This window comes from Homo sapiens, chromosome 2 (assembly GCF_000001405.40).
Source record: "Homo sapiens chromosome 2, GRCh38.p14 Primary Assembly".
NCBI classification, from domain to species: domain Eukaryota; kingdom Metazoa; phylum Chordata; class Mammalia; order Primates; family Hominidae; genus Homo; species Homo sapiens.
In genome coordinates, this window is record NC_000002.12 from 15079342 (window position 1) to 15096125 (window position 16784).

The following is a 16784-nucleotide window of genomic DNA, read 5'->3' on the forward strand; positions in this document are numbered from 1 at the left end:
GATATGATATTTCCTTTCTCATAAATATTGGGGAATTTAAAAGAGATCATAAGTAAGAATGTCACCATCATCACTATCACTTTCAGGTCCCTAAGAGCCAAGCAGAAGCCACCACTCCTTTCTGAGGTCTCAGCTGGGATCTGCCAGGGCCACCTTTCCTCCTCCTTTCCAAGGACACAGGACCTCATGGTGCTCACTGCTAACCCAAACCTCTTGCCATCACCCCTGCTGTTACTTCTGAAGTAGCAGAGCCTGAGTTATGACACACTCAATTCCTGAAGCTCTTCTCTTTATGAAAGAGCTCTAGGTTCCATTTTATCTGATCTGTCCAACCCATTCCCACGATGTTCTTGGAAGATGTCCCCTTTCCTCCCCTGGGTTTCTGCAGCCCGTGGATTGGTCCTCCTTGTGCCACTCACCATCCTGTGTTGCAACCTTCTAGCAGGCGGTTAGCACTTTAAGGGCAGGACTGTGTCTTCGTTGTCTCCGTGGAGCTAGTTTCTAGCTCCAAAGGCCAGGCACAGAGTACATAACTAATAAGTACTTACAAATAAAATGATGTTTACAGTAATTCAAACTTATTTGGCATGATTTTTTACAACCATTATATTGACAAATAAGCCGTGCTTTTCTTACTATTGTTTGACTTTGATATAGAATAAAGAATAGCAGCCTACAATCTGACCTTATAGGTTCAAAAATATGAGAAGGCAAAGGAGAACAAGCCCCACCCTCATCCCATGAGCCAGACCACCTTCCCCAGAAGCAAGTCCCATCATACCATGAACACCACAGCCATGTTCCATCCAAGAAAGAGAACAGGGATTCCTCCTTCAACATTAGTAGAAGACTCATGGCTGAAAGAAGACAGTCCTTTCTCCTCCAGAACTCCAGAATCATGATGGTCAATTGTGCCCCTTTAAGCCCAAGAGTTCACATGCACCTAGAGATAAGGTATTAAATCTGAACTGAAGAAGACAAGGTCTCAGTCCTAGAGATTCAACTTCAGAGCCACAGCCATCCCTAAATACTTTCACGTGCCAGTTATACTCCTGTATCTCTCCAGAAACATTGTCCTTGTTTGACCAACACTTGAAGCTCTCCCCAGTCTGGGCAAGAAAGAGGGCTGAAAGATGATTATTCTGGTTATCTATTACTGAATAACAAATCACTCCAAAACTCAGTGACTTTTTAAAAAACAACCATTTGACTATATCTCACAATTTATGGATCAAGAACTTGAGCAAGGCTCAGCTGGGTAAGTTTTCTGCTTCATAAGCCATCAACTGAAATCACTCAGGGAAATTCAGCTGGTGGATGGGTTAGTTCAGAAGACCCGACAGCTTCACTCCCATGTCTGGCACCCTGGTGGGGGTGGCTGGAAGCTTGGGCTCAGCTGAACTGTTGGACTGAGGAGTCCACCTGTGACCTTTCAGCATGACAGTTTCAGGATAGTCACACTTCCACCTGGGGGGATGGAGCTCTCAGAAAGAAAATTCAAATATCCGGGAAGTACAAGCTTTCAATTTCTTAGGAGCCATAACAGCATCCCTTCCAAACATTCTTCTGTTGGTCACAAAGCCCACCCTTATCCAAATGGTTGAGAAACAAACCCAGCCCTTGATGGACAGCTGCCAAGGAATTTACAGCCGCTTTTCAACCTCTAGATAAAAACGGGCCACCATGCAGAGGCAGCTGACTCTTTTTCCTGAATTATTTCTGTCTCTTGGTGGTCTTCTCACACATATGCCCAAGATCCCTCAATCAACCAGTTACCTCTGGCTCAAGCAAAGCAAAAACCTTTTTCCTTGTGACCCAAACAATCCCTGGTCTCACCAGACTGAAGGTTGCAATGGGGTCCTATTAACTTTAATTTAGGATTTTGACTTGGTGCTATCCCTACCCATATCATTGTTAACTCCTCACTCTTCACTATAAGTCTCCCTAAGCTACTTCTGGGGGTTTCAGGAGGCAACTCCAAGGAGGTATGCCCAAGACGGTGTGCTCAGGAGAAACTAAACTCAGGTCGTTTATGGATCTCCTCACTCTTCATGAGATCCTCCACCTAGATATAAATATAGAGATGTCTCATATACCATACTTATACATTTACTTACTATGATTTTATAAGAACAGTCCAGTGTATCCAGCCAGAGCCTCCAACTCAACAGTCAACAGTCCACTGGCTATCCCAATGCCCACGACCTCTTCATCCAAAGGCATTGCGCAAGAATACCATTCTGGAAAGAGCTGCTCACAAGGCAGCCACATCCTTCTCCAGACTTTTTTCACTAGAAAGAGATGCCCCAGCGTCCCAGGAACCTCTCCCTCTTCCCTATCGTGTGTAATTATGGTCAGGGGTCTCTCCCTCTTAAACCCAGAGCCTGTAAGATGACTGCCCTTAGTTCGCTGGTCAACCCAGGTGTGACTCAGATTAGATGGATCACACAGCCCCAGTTGTTTGACACTTTGGCTGCTGCCTGGAAGGATGGCCTTTTGGTCCACAAAGAGAGGGTGCATATTTGGCAGACATTATAACATTGGCTGGAGTCAGGCACATGTGGGTTAGAATCACAACTTTTCCACTCACTGACTATGTCACCCTCAGAAAGGTGTTTAATCTTTTGGCCTCAGTTTCCACATCTGTGAAATGAGAATAATGATATCTATCTACCAGGGAAATTGTAATAATTAAATAAAGCAAGACAACTTAAAACAGACTCTGCTCCCCAACAAAAATGTGTGTAAAAATGGTAGCTATTAATAAGATAAGGATGGTGGTATTGGTGGTGGTGGTATTATTGGACCAATTTACCTGGTTTTGTGCATGAGTACCCTGTCATGCCCAGGACCTTGTAACACCCATGACTCCACGTTACACAGCTCCTTACTTATGCCCCAGTTAGTTTACTCTCACAATGCCCATGTCATTCATCCATGAATTCATGTATTCAACAGGTGTTTATGGAGTCACTATAATGAGCTGAGCATTGTGCCAGGAGCCAGGGATGCAGCAGTGAAGAGGAAAGATGTGGTCTCTACCCTAACGACTCCTCTAACATCACTTGCTCATTTCATGTTCTGAGTCACGTGACAGCAGACCATCTAGACTCACAAATATCAGAGCTGGAAGGTCACTTTCACTCTCTCTGGGCCTTTAATTCGGCTCCATGCTGCACCCCAGCTCCTGACCCAGTTTGGCTCCCAGCACTCCTACTTGGTTATGCTCTTACATTCTCTCTCTTGCTCCCTCCTTTACCAGATTCCCTGAGCAAACAGCCCTACAGAATCATTCCCAGAGCCCCCAAGGAGGCAGGGTTTGCATCAGCCTGCCCAGCCAGCACCCTGGACCCAACAGCTCACTTCCCCAAACTTAGAGAGCTACAAAGATCATAAGAACTATCTTTTCCTAGGTACTGCCAAAGCACATGGCATGCATTCTCCCATTTACTCCTCCTGGTATCTGTGTTGGGAGCCATGGTCTCCAGTTTACCGAAGAGGGAACTGAGACTTTGAGGAGTCACAAGACATGCCCACAGTCAGCTGACATGTAGTAGAGCCAGGGCTCAAACCCAGCTTTGTGTAAAAGTTGAAGATGGGACACTGGATATAACTGAAGCTACACAGAAAGTTAATGGGCAATTCCCCCCCACCATGTTTTGGGGGGTTATTCATCCTTTGGAATATTTCCATTTGCATGAGTCTCCCTGTAGTGGGCCTGGCAGTTAATTAGGAGGAAAGCAGCTATGTGCAGGATGGAGCAAAAGTGTGGGACACCATGGAGCTCATCTTAAGTGGAGGGACAGCAACTTGCCCAGTACCCCTCTCCCACCCCTGGGTACCTGGCTGGACTGTGCTTTCCTTCAATACCCCATTATCCTGGAGCTGAGCTGAGTGGGTTTCCACTTTCGCAACAGTGCTCCTGAACTAAATCATCTGCCCACCAGGCAAAGCCTGCCTTCTTCCCTCTCCATCTCCACAGTGTGTAGCCATGTGGGTGCCCAAAGCTGTGACTGAGTACACAGCAGCAGCCTTTTAATGCTTTTAAAATAAAACTTGGATTTTCTTTCTTTTTCTCCCCAGGTTTGTTCAGAAGGAACAAAATGTCCTAGTCTATTCCACATGGAATAGGTACCTCCTTCAGCACCATTTGCAAAACCATTCTAAAACTGAAAATTGTTGTGGGATGAAATTATCTGCCCTCTTCTGCATTTTTATTCCATCTCAGAATAATGTTGTCATCCAGAAAGAACAGATGTTTCTTACAGGTAAAGCCTGCTTGTACCAACATAATATACAGAATCATCAAATCCTTTTCAATTATCACAACAAAATCACAGTTGTTCCAAATTGGTATGGATACATCCAGAGGAGGAGAGGGATTCCACTAAAAGGTCTTTGGGAATGACTGACCAGCCTGTGTAACAAGAGGCTTGTTCTTGCAGTGTAGACAATTGTGGAGGTAGCAGACCATGAGCTTTGGGGTGAGAAGACCAGCATGTCATTCTCAGCTCTTCACTTACCCGATCTGCAACCTGGAACAAGTAGCTTAATGTCTCTGAGTTTCTGTTTTGACATCTGTGAAATGGAAACAAAAATGCAGACTAGGTTTGTTTGCTGGTTAGATCGAATAAAAAAAACTATAGAAAACATTTAGCATCGTAAATAGTACTGTACTTGGGAAGCACTGAACAATTGCTTTTTTTTTTTCAATTTATTTTATTTTTTGAGACAGGGTCTCACTCTGTTGCCCAGGCTGCAGTGTAGTGGCATGATCAAGGTTAACTGCAGCCTTGACCTGGGCTCAAGTAATCCTCCCGCCTCAGCCTCCAGAGTAGCTGGAACTACAGGTGTCCACCACCACCTATAGTGTATGCCTGCCTAATTTTTTGCATTTTTTTCTAGAGACAGGGTTTTTGCCATGTTGCCCAGGCTGGTCTCGAACTCCTGGACCCAAGTGATCAACCTGACTCAGCCTCCCAAAGTGCTGGTATTACAGGCGTAAGCCACAGCACCTGGCCCAGTTGCTTTTATTTATATGATCACAGAAGTAATGTAAAAACAAAAACAAAACAAAAACTATAGCTATCATTTGTTAATTAATCTGTCATTCAAGTGGTTTATTCCCAGAAAAATCAGTGTTAGAAATACCTCAGAGTGCCTGGGATGGACTCTATTTTCCTGCCTCTGAATTATCCACTGGGAGTCCCACTGTACTTCAACTGTGGCTCCATAAGGTGAAACACTGATTCCAGAAGCTCTGCTTAAACCAGTGAGCCTTCCATCTTCCACTTCTGGAGGCAGGAAAAGCTGTGCTCACACTCTCACACACCATATCGGCGGGGCGGGGGGGGTTCCTTATGGAGGAATTCACGCTTGCCACTCCTCCTCATCTCTCTTCCCTCCCCCTTTTCAAAGGTCTGAGAAGTTGGTTCACTCAGGGTGTAGACCAAACTGCAGAACATTTAGGCAACGTGAAGCAAAACAAATTATCCTCGAAGACTCTAACCACTTGAAAGGTATTCATTATGTTAAAATCTCTTGTTTTGGTTACCGTGATAGTTAATTTTACATGTCAACTTGATGAGGTCAAGGTAATGGCAGTAGCGGGCCATCTGGAGTGGCCGCTGTCATCATGCTGGCCGCTGCAGGGAGCATGCAGGGAGGAGGCGGACAGCGCCCCACCTCCTCTCCGCAGCTTTCCGCCCTGGGGGCTGCTGTGACGGGCCGGGCCAAGTAGCCCGTCGGTGAGGAAGCAATACAGCGGAGGAGCAACGCAGTTGGGCAGAGGGACCCGAGGCAGAGCTGGGCCCGGGGTGGTGCCACACTTGCACACGGAGTGCGGGGGCCGGTTCCGGACACAGAGATGGGGCTGCACTTTGGAGGCCCGGGGTGCAAGTGAGAGCGGCACCCACTTCAGGGACCCGACCAGTGGTGCAGCCACTGGGCCCACCCCACCAAGGGTGCCGTGTTCCTGCGCCTCAGGAGGAGGCTCTGCACAGGGCCACCTGGGGCTGCGTCTCGGGGTCTGCCCTGCGTGGAAGTGACCGCCGAGCCTGACACTCCCTACAGTCAGGCCTGGGGCCCGATCCCCTCAGCCCAGGGCCACCTCTCAGTGCTGGGGCAATGTGGGGAGCTCATGGCGGTATCACCCCTGCCCCAGATGCAGGCCCAGGCCCAGCAAGGACCTGGAGCCCCTGCTCCAGGCTGTGAGGGGGCATGGCCATGGCTGCATGCTCCACAGAGCCAGTGGGAACTGGGAGCAGGCAGCAGCCCTGCCCTCCTGAGCACAGCTGCAGCCACCCAAGTCAGGATAATGGATCCGGGCCTCTGTGTGCTCTTGGGGGCCTACGAAGGCCCCCCATGCTCTTGTATGCTCAGAAGTGCCTGCTCCCACTACCTGGCTTCTCCCCACTGTGGGCACCAGCTCCGATCTCAGAGAAACGTGGAGCAGGGGTGCACACGCTGGGGGCAGTGCTGACATGCCAGCCCCCTGCCACCTCAGGCCCTGGACTTTGGGTGCCCAGAAGTGTGGGGGAGGGTGAGGGGGTAATCTGAGGAGGTGCTTCGGGCAGGTCAGTGATGGCCTGCAGGCGCCCATGGCATGAGCATCCTGGGCACCAGGGATGGAGGCAGGAGGCAGATGGCTCCTGGAGGGAAGGGGTGGGGTCCCCAGTGAGGCCCCACCTTCAGGCTAGGTAGGGCCTGAAACCTGGGGGACAGGTTTCCAGTCCCACAGACCAGAGTGGGGACTTGTGTTGCCTTTTCTGGGCCCCTGCATGGCTGCCCATGGACCAATCCCCATGCACTTCCTCCCCTCCAAGACTCATAAAAGCCCCAGGCTGAGCTAGAGCAGGGCAGACATCAGGAAGACCAGTTGCAGAGAGGAGCAACCTATCCCAGGGTCTCCCCTCTGAGAGGAGCTTCCCACTCCAGGGTCTCCTCTCTGCTAGAAGCTGAACACTCGGGATACCCTGGCTGTGGGAAGGAGCTACCCCCTATTGGTCCCCTCTATCACTCAATAAAGCTCCTTTTCCTCTTGCTTATCCTCCACTTGTCTGCATACCTCATTCTTCCTGGTCGCAGGACAAGAACTCAGGACCCACCAAACGGTGAGGCTAAAAGAGCTATAACACAAACAGGGCTGAGACATGCCCCTTGCTTGCCATATTGCAGACAGAGAGAAGAGCTGTGGCCCCTTGGGGAGCCCAGACCTGTGAGCTTCCCAAGTTAGGGATGTCACTCCTTCCTTAGGGCCCTGAGGTTTCCTGGCATCTCCAAGCTTCCGGTGCCACCACATTCCCCAGTGCCAGCTGAGGAAGCTGCTTGCAGTGCTCCTGGTCCAGCTGTAATCTCACAGAGAGCTGGCGCCCATGCTGGCACCTGCAGCTGCCCACCCTACTGCAACAGCTGCACAGAGGTTTCCAGCCAGAAAAGTGACACCCCAAAGATCCTGTAACAAAGGAGTGCCTAGATATTTGGTCAAATATTATTCTGGATGTTTCTATGAGAGTGTTTTGAGATGAGATTAACATAAATCAGTAGACAGGGTAAAGTAAATTGCCCTTCCTAATGTGGGTGGGCCTTATCCAATCAGTTGGAGACCTGAACAGAACAAAAGGCTGATACTCCCCAACACGCACACACACACCACACCCCTGGAGAAGACAGAATTCTTCCTGCCTGACAGCCTTCAAACTGGAACATCATTTTTTTCCCCTGATTTCAGACTTGAACTGAAACACCAATTCTTCCCGGTCTCAAGCCTGCCAGCCTTTGGACTAGAACCACACCATCAGCTCTCCTAGGTCTCACCCTGCAGATCTTGGGACTAGCCAGCCTCCATATCATGTGGGCCAATTCCTTAAATCTTTTTATACAAACACACACACACACACACACACACACACACACACCCCATATTGGTTCTGTTTCTCTGAAGAATTCTAATACAGTTATTATATGTTGTTCTCATCCATTTATTAAAATAGGTACCTGAGTAACTTCTGGGCAGTATCAGTCACATAGTAAGAAGTAGTTAGAGAAGACAAACTGTGGGTTCCTTGAGCATGATGTCTATGGTCAGGCTTTCTCCTTCCTTGGTCTGTCCTTCATCCCTAACTGGTCAGACTAATGACATTTGGCTGCAGTATCACAGATAAGGAAGATAAAGTGGCCAGCCTAGCCCTTTTCTCCAGGGCAGAGGAAGAAAAATAGTAAATGTTCTCAGAGAACTCGTCAGCTGGTCAACCTCTGAAGCACCAAGAAAAGACAACCTTGAAAATGAGATCCTTTTTAGCCTGGGAAGGACACTGGCCAGGCCTGAGTGCCTGTGTGCACCAATGGCAAGATACAGGAAATGTCAGCCGGTGAGAAATTGATGAAAGCAAGGAGAGAAGCTGTGCCATTTGAGAGGCGGTGTACCATTCACATGGATAACATTTGTTCCTTTTAGCTTTTCCTTCATTGACTCACTCAGTCATTTGTTCACTTAACAAATATTTACTCAGCCTTTACTGTGTCTAAATTCCCTGTGGCAGGAACTCAAAGCACAAACTCTGGGGTGAAGTAGGTTGCATTACGGTTGCAGAGACAAAACACGCGGAGAGTGAAAATCGTTAAGAACAGGCAGCATGGGCCAGAACAATGAGTGAGCCAGTGCAAGAGAATTGAGAAGAGACGGGAATGTGCTCAGAGGAGATACCCGTAGGGTGAGCTGCACCACATAAATGGGGCCCTGGAGGTACTCCTGGATTTGTAGAGAAGGAGAGGCTGGGTGGGCAGGTCGAGCAGGAATAAGGGATGCTTGTTTGGGGAGGACATGAGCAGAGGGTCATGGTTTCTCTCACTGGTGAAGAGCAAAAGGTAGTCATGCTGGTTGTTTGGAGCCAAAAGAGAAAGAATCTATGAAGGAATTTGAACTCCATACAAGACTTTACAAGGACAGAGCATTCTCAGAGTATGTCATAGGAGCTGTGTTTTAGAAAAATCAATCTGACAAGAGACAATTTTTAATCTAATTTTTATATTTTTCTGCTCTTCTTTTCAAATTATTTCTTTCTGTTTCTCTGCAAAGGCTCAGATGTTGAACATGAATGACCCTTGAAAGTGGAGAAAAAGGAGACAAATGGCACTTATTTCCTCTTCTGTGATAGAGTCTTAAGTATATTTTCTCTCTTTCCCACTAGATATAAAGTTTCTCAGGGCCAGAGAGCATGGCTTATTGATTCACTCCTGCTGGGTCTGTATACTGTCCTCAACACACTGCAAGTGGTTTGCAGGAAGGGGACCCAGCGATTTCCTCTGTAGGCTTTCCCTCGGTGCTTCCTAGAGGACCATCAGATGAACCTTAGGAGCATAGGATGTTAGAGCTTGAAGAAATTTCTTTCATTCTCACAGAGGTGGAAAGTGATAAGGGACATGAGCAGGACCATGCAGTAAAACCAAGATAGATCCAAGGCAAGAATCTAGAGCGGCCAGCTCCTGGCCCAGTGTTCTTCTCATGCCCAGAAACCGATTTGGATGGGAGAGAAGATGTGAGGATTCAGGCCAATAGACGGGCCTGTAATTCAGACAGGGCTGTCTAGAGCTAGGCTGGATTTACACAGTAAGCACCAGGCACAAAGCAAAGGTGTCCCTCTGTTGATACCCCATCCCTGCAGCCTCCTGGCCTGCTTGAAAGGTGGAGACAAACCCCACAGCTAAACCACACCTTCGGTTCTCCCACAAATCCTTCAAACTAGTAGTAGAAGCCTTGGTCTCCCAATGACAAAATACAAATGGTTTTGTAACACTTCATGAATTTTATTTTTCAGTTTTTTGTAGAGATAGGGGCTCACCATGTTGCCCAGGCTGGTCATGAACTCCTGATCTCAAGCAATCCTCCTGCTTCGGCCTCCCAGAGTGCAAGGATTACAGCATGAGCCACCGCACCTAGCCCCCTTCAGGAATTTTAGAATTCTTCAAGGTCAAAGAAGTGTAACTGCTTCTCAATATGTGCCCGAAGTATTTTAAAATTCATAATCACCCCAAAATCATGAAATCTGAGAATTGGGAGAGACTTGGGGCCCTATCCAATCCAATTCCTCATTTTACAAATGGAAAAACTGAGACCTAGGGAAGATTAAAAACTTGCCCAGACTGGTGTTTACATTAGTTTAGAGCTAGGGCCACAGGCTCGGATACTCCCAGTCCAGGCAGGTAATGAAACCAGCAAAACAGGGGTGGAGGCGGGGAGGGACCCAGTACAGTGACAGGGTGGGAGAGTGGAATGAGAGCAGCTCCCACCCAGCTCCAGAAATACCTGCCCAGTGTTGTCAGGAATTCTTTTTCAAAAGAAGCTGAAAATCAAATTTTTAAGTGAAATCATTGCCTTTTAAAGGTTGACAATTGGGTCAGGACTTTTTTTTTTTTTTTTTTTTTTTTGAGACAGAGTCTCGCTCTGTCACCCAGGCTGGAGTGCAGTGGCACAATCTCAGTTCACTGCAACCTCTGCCTCCCAGGTTCCAGCGATTCTCCTGCCTCAGCCTCCTGAGTACCTGAGATTACAGGCATGTGCCATCACACCTGGCTAATTTTTGTATTTTTTAGTAGAGACGGGGTTTCACCATGTTGGCCAGGCTGGTCTTGAACTCCTGACCTCATGATCCGCCCACCCCAGCCTCCCAAAGTGCTGGGATTGCAGGTGTGAGCCACCGTGCCCGGCCTGGTCAAGGTTTTTAAACATTCTGCAGGCCAAAAGCATAGATAGGACTCTGAATTGTTCCCAAAAGATGTCAGCTCAGCACGTCAAGTCCCTGCCCCTACTATGGCCTCTGCCATTTGCTACGTGTGTGTCTGTTTCTTTAAGCCTGTTCAAGGTGTGAACTGGAACAAAAAGGTTGTGAGAGTCACTCATTTCAGCTCTCTCCATTGCAGCCCACTCACCTAGAGACAAGTCACTCTGTCCTCCATGTGTGAATCACATCAACTCCAAGATTTCTCCAGCTCAGCTGTGGCTTTCATTGATGTAAAATATTAAATAACCTTGACATAAGACATACGTATCTGGGTCAACCAGCGTTCATATTCTGGTATCTGTATAGGGGCCAGGTGTTTTCAAGGCAACAGCTGCAGGACTGTCATCTGGCTTGAGCAAGCTATAAAAATCCAGAGAAATGGAGAGGACATCCCTTTACATTTACCCCCAAACCTCACTGTGGAAAATTAAGAACACATCTCTGAAATTACACTCCAAATAGAAAAGTAATTAAAACAGAAAAGCACAGCCTGATCTTGTTACCTTTCCAGCCTCAGAGAGAATCCACCTGAGGCTGTAAAAATCCTTATAGGTAGGTAGCTAACGTGGCCAACACTCAGATGCATATTTATACTGACATTTACACGGACAAAATCCCCATTCCTTATTTGGAAAAGCCATAGGAAGCAAGAGGTCTTTATTTGAAAGCTCTGCAGCATTGATAAAAGCATTTGGAACGGCTTTCACACGCTAGCCTTACATAGCCTAAACCGCTTGACTTTCAGAAGTCCTAATTAGCAGTCTTATCGTGAAGAGAATGCTTAGGTTGACATGGGGTTCAGCTAAGTCCTGAGAGGTCCTGAACGCCGAAAAGATTACAGTACTCACCCTCGTACCTTACCTACAACTATAATTCAAAACATACCCCAAGCCCTAACACAAACAAGACAAACTATAATAAAGCCAAAATAGCCTTTTTCTAGGCATCTCTGGTTGAAAAATTCTAGATAAGTCAATGAAAGTGGAATTTCCTCCATTTTTTGTGGTGTCTCAAACCCAAGTCCAGGCTGTCTGTCGGTTAATACGTTATTGGCCTTGCAGAAACAAGAACTCGATGGGAAACTTAAGTCCAGGCCACCTTGTGACACAGCATGCATGCCTTGGGAGCTCTCTCAGAGACCATCTAATTCAATGACCTCCTCCCACTTCATACAGTTTGAACTGCATGGGTCCACTGATATGTGGATTTTCTTCCGCCTCTGCCACTCCTGAGACAGTAACCCCTCCTCTTTTTCCTCCTTCTCAGCCTACTCAATGTGAAAATGATGAGGATAAAGACCTTTATGAAGATCCACTTCCACCTAATGAATGGGAAATATATTTTCTCTTCCTTGTGGTTTTTTTGGCTTGCTTTGCTTTGTTGTTTTTTCTTTTCTTTTCTATTTTCTTTTTTCTTTTTCTTTTTTTTTTTGAGTTGGAGTCTTGCTCTGTTGCCCAGGCTGGAGTGCAGTGGCACTATCTAGGATCACTGCAACCTCCACTTCCCGGGTTCAAGCAATTCTTGTGCCTCAGCCTACAGAGTAGCTGGGATTACAGGCGCCTGCCACCATACCTGGCTAATTTTTGTATTTTTAGGAGAGATGGGGCTTCGCCATATTGGCCAGGCTGGTCTCAAACTCCTGACCTCAAATGATCTGCCAGCCTCGGCCTCCCGAAGGGCTGGAATTACAGGTATGAGCTACCGCACCCAGCCTCCTTGTGTTTTTTTAAAATAATATCATGTTTTCTCCAGCTTACTTGCTGTAAGGATACGGTATATAATACATGTAACATACAACATACGTGTTAAAAGACTGCTTATGTTATCAGTAAAGCTTCTGGTTAACAATAGGCTATTAGCTAAGTTTGGGGAAGCCAAAAGTTATACATGATTTTTTGACTGCCAGAAGGTCAATGTGCCAATTCCTATGTTGTTCAAGGGTCAACTGTAAATGGGGAAACTGAGGCCCTGGTCACAGTAGCACACACAGGATGAACTGGAGATGAGAAATTTGAAATACACCACACTACTTCTCCACTTCAATTGTCTATTAGTAAAATGACCTCCCACCCCTTGGTTTTAAAGATCCCAAGTAAGGAAAAGAAGGTACACTTTCAAGGGTTCCCATAGGAACACCCAGTTTCCATTGTTGAACTGCAGAGCTGGTGGTGAGTCAATTTGCATACATTTCAAAAAATCTACCTAAGATGGTTTCAAGAGCCCAGCATGATAAATTATGCACCTTTGGCAAAGTAAGGCAATGTATGTTCTAATTAATTAGGTATGTGAATCACAAGGAGTATTGGACCTGAAACAAAGGAAGGGACTTGGAGAGTTCAGAGTAAAGATTCATAAATTAGCTCCGAAAGAAATGAATTAATTGCTTCTGAATTTTGCACTCCTCCCCCCACCCCCAACTCCACATTTTGTACTGCAAATATGTTACAAGTCTTTGTTTTCCTTCTGGCTTTTCAGCTGTGTCTTTGAAGTTCCCTAGTTCTGCAGTAACAGGCTTCCCTTGCCTGGCTCCATGTTCCTGTCTATGGACCCAGCCAGAACTTCCTCCAGTATGTCCAATTCACGGATAATTAGTCCGAACTAAAAACATAATCTGCTCAGGATAATTGACTCTATATGAAGTCGGCTTTAAAAAATGTCTACTTTGGGTTTCAGGGATTTGCATATGACATGATTATTGCTTAAGTCAAATTGAAATCATAGGAGGTCTAATCCCCTTTCAGAGCTGGTGAGTCACCGCTGATCCTTCTGGTGGTGGAAGAAGAAGCAAGACAAATTCCATAAGCATAGCACTGTGTTTTTACCCAAAGCACAAAATGTAAATGGAATTTTTCTAAAATGTTCCTGGGGGTTAAAGTTACTTAAACCCTGCAGGGTGTCTGTCCCTGGCACTAGCGGTTGTTCAAGGGCCTCCGTGAGCCTGCTCTGGCACCTCTGCAATCTCAATGACTGCTTAGTAATCAAAGACGTGAAACTAAAATAAAAAGGCATTATTGGGCCGAGTGCAGTGGCTCACATCTGTAATTCCAGCACTTTGGGAGGCGGAGGCGGGCAGATCACTTGAGCTCAGGAGTTTGAGACAAGCCTGGCCAACATGGTAAAACCCCGTCTCTACTAAAAATACAAAAATTAGTGGGTTGTGGTGGCACGTGCCGGTAATCTCAGCTACTCGGGAGACTGAGGCAGGAAAATCGCTTGAACCCGGGAGGCGGTGGTTGCAGTGAGCCGAGATCATGCCACTATACTCCAGCCTGAGCAACAGAGCAACACTCCATTTCAAAATAAAAAATAAAAAGGGCACTATTGTATTGCTGCCTCACAAATGTTGATAACCATGTTCAACATATATTTTATGTGATCATATGTGAAGTATTAATTGGTGCAGATTCTGCAAAGCTAATTGGCAATATGTTTACACACTTTGACCCAGTAATTCTATTTCCAGAGATGATTCTAGGAAATTCGCCAGCAATGTGGACAAAGATTTTCTATAAGGAACTTTATCAGTGTTATTTACACAAATGAAAAACTTGAAAAAAGTAAATTATGTCCAACACTGGTTAAATAATGTTACAACCAAAGGTAAAATAATATGAAGTCATTTAAAATGGTGTTTGAAACAATAATTAAAGACATAGAGAAAATGCTCATAATATGAATAATCAAGCCTGGCTATTTTTTTAAGCATAGAAAAAGACTATGTTTAAGCATAGAAAAAAATGTTATTCCAGTTTATTACAATGAAAATACACTGCTCCTATAATACAAAATATTTTTAATGGGTGATTCTCATAATACTTCACAGATGTAAAGTGTTATCTCATTATAATGGATTTTTAAAAGTAAGCCTAGTTTCTTGTTACTAAGAGACTCAGAAAGTGAGTTGTATTCATTGTTAATAATAGTTTCAGAAAGACATACAACCTGTGGAGCCTTCGTTTCTAGCCAAACTGAAGAATCGGCTTCACATTTGATGGCTCTCCTTTGAAACATGCAAAAGGAAGCTGCTATAAAGTCAGGCCCATAAAAAAGTCATTTGCCTAGACCTCCCATTCCAGTCCAGTCCAGCCCTCACTGGCTATTAAGGTAACTGTTTGGAAAGAACATATTTCCCTCTCTAGTAATCAAAATGCATCTTCTCCTCCATCTGCCTCATAATGAGAAGTCATAATCTTCTTTTTATGACATCTCCATAAAAGACATCAATAGAACAAAAAAATACATTGCTCCTGGTAATAATAGTGTTTGTTATGGAAATTGTAAAATGTTCCCATATAGGTACAATCCACTTTAATTAAGCCTTGTCAAAGAATACATTTTCAAATCATCTAAATTAGATATTGTAGAGCCATAAGCTTGCTATCATGGGGGAAAAAATATAACTCCGGGATTAAGCCTGGGGCTGAATCAATTTTCTTATTAAGAGCCTGCATGGCTCAGGACATTTGTAATGGAAGCTAAGCCAAGCCTCTGGCTTTAAGTTCCAGCCTGGCAGTCAAAGACTGAGAGCTTTTTGTGCTGAGAATATGCGGACTGATGGGCTACAAGACTGTGCCCAGCTTCCCTCAGCCGGCTGAACCCTGCAGTGCTCCAGGTTCTAAAATGCTCCCGCCGGCCCTTTGCAGTCTGTCCTCCAGGATGGGCCTGAACCAGAAGCAGAAAGATGCAGCAGGAAGCCGACGGGGTCTCAGCAGAGATTCCAGGTTCCAGAAAGCTCCCAGGCATAGGGAGATGAGGCAAGGGTGGACCTGGCCAAATTTGAAAGAGCAAACCACAACTTTCTTTTTATATTATATAACCCTTTTGTTAAATTCCTTATCAAAAATTATAAAAGTAACATGTATGCCCCATATTTGTTTAAAAATTAAGAAAATGTATAGTAAAATATAATCTTCTCTACAATCTTTGCCATGTCTCCGCCTCTTAGGTTCAATGGAGACAGCCTGGTGTGTGTCTTTCCACCATAAAACATGCATAGGAGGTGGCCCTGCTTATTTTTATTAAAGAACGGCCATTGCATACACATTATTCTGCAACTTGTTTTTCTCATATAACAGCCCTGCAGGCCCACAGCTATAGATGTAGTGTTTTAGCTCATTTTCATGCTGCTGATAAAGACATACCCAAGACTGGGTAATTTACAAAAGAAAGAGGTTTAATGGACTCACAGTTCCACGTGCCTGGGGAGGCCTCACAATCATGGTGGAAGGAGAAAGGCAGGCTTTACATCACAGCAGGCAAGAGAGAGAGAATGAGAATCAAGCCAAACAAGTTTCACCTTATCGAACCATCAGATCTCGTGAGACTTATTCACTACCACGAGAACAGTATGGAAGAAATCACTCCCATGATTCAATTATCTCCCACCAGTTCCCTCCCACCACACGTGGGAATTATGGGAGTAAAGTTCAAGATGAGATTTGGGTGGGGACACAGCCAAACTATATCATGCAGGAAAACAGCATTTTCAGCTGTTCAGCTGTGATTTTCTGGGTGCTCTTTCTGCCTTCCCCCACAGTGTGGAGGCACGGACCCAGCTCCCATGAACCTTCCCTGGTAAGCACCAACGCCCCTCTTACTCCCACATTAAACATGTCCCATTGTCAAGTTGGTGGCCATATGGTCACCTTTCCCCAGGCCCTGACATGGGAGCTCAAGCTTCTCCTGCAAGCTTGGCCTTAGTCAGTGGTTGATTCCTCCAGTCCAACTGTTGTTCTCCATCCCACTGCCATCAGAAGGCAGAAACGGCACAGTATCTGACAGTGTCTTGGAGACACTCATGGGGCTGCTCATGGCCTGGAGGAAGGGTAGTGAGTGACTGCCCAGCTTCCCTGGTGCCAGAGCCACCCCCAGCCCAGGCGCAAGCTCCCTTCGGGAACTCCTCATGTCTGGGCTTGAAGCACAAGGCCAGGATGTTAAGAGGCCTATCAAGACCATGTCTTGGGTCCTATTCTTTAGATGTATCAGTTCCATCAACCCAGTCTTTCC

General features: G+C 46.0%; 1 protein-coding gene across 2 annotated transcripts in view, besides 2 other annotated features; it reads right to left on the reverse strand.

The window, feature by feature from the left end:
* Positions 1-16784, reverse strand: part of NBAS (NBAS subunit of NRZ tethering complex) — a 782426-nt gene that overhangs the window by 300433 nt on the left and 465209 nt on the right. Inside the window, exon 53 of one of the 2 annotated variants that reach the window (XR_007076390.1) lies at positions 4524-4578. The exons of the other annotated variant lie outside the window; for it this stretch is intronic. The gene's annotated coding sequence lies outside the window, so the exon portion shown is untranslated. The remainder of the gene's footprint in view (positions 1-4523; positions 4579-16784) is intronic. 2 annotated transcript variants of the gene reach the window in all.
* Positions 5243-5928: an enhancer, noted in NCBI's record as "H3K27ac-H3K4me1 hESC enhancer chr2:15224708-15225393 (GRCh37/hg19 assembly coordinates)". NCBI's record gives its function as "activates a minimal SCP1, AML or CMV promoter by ChIP-STARR-seq in naive H9 embryonic stem cells {active_cell/tissue: H9 hESC(naive)}" and the evidence as "EXISTENCE:reporter gene assay evidence [ECO:0000049][PMID:30033119]".
* Positions 5929-6613: an enhancer, noted in NCBI's record as "H3K27ac-H3K4me1 hESC enhancer chr2:15225394-15226078 (GRCh37/hg19 assembly coordinates)". NCBI's record gives its function as "activates a minimal SCP1, AML or CMV promoter by ChIP-STARR-seq in naive H9 embryonic stem cells {active_cell/tissue: H9 hESC(naive)}" and the evidence as "EXISTENCE:reporter gene assay evidence [ECO:0000049][PMID:30033119]".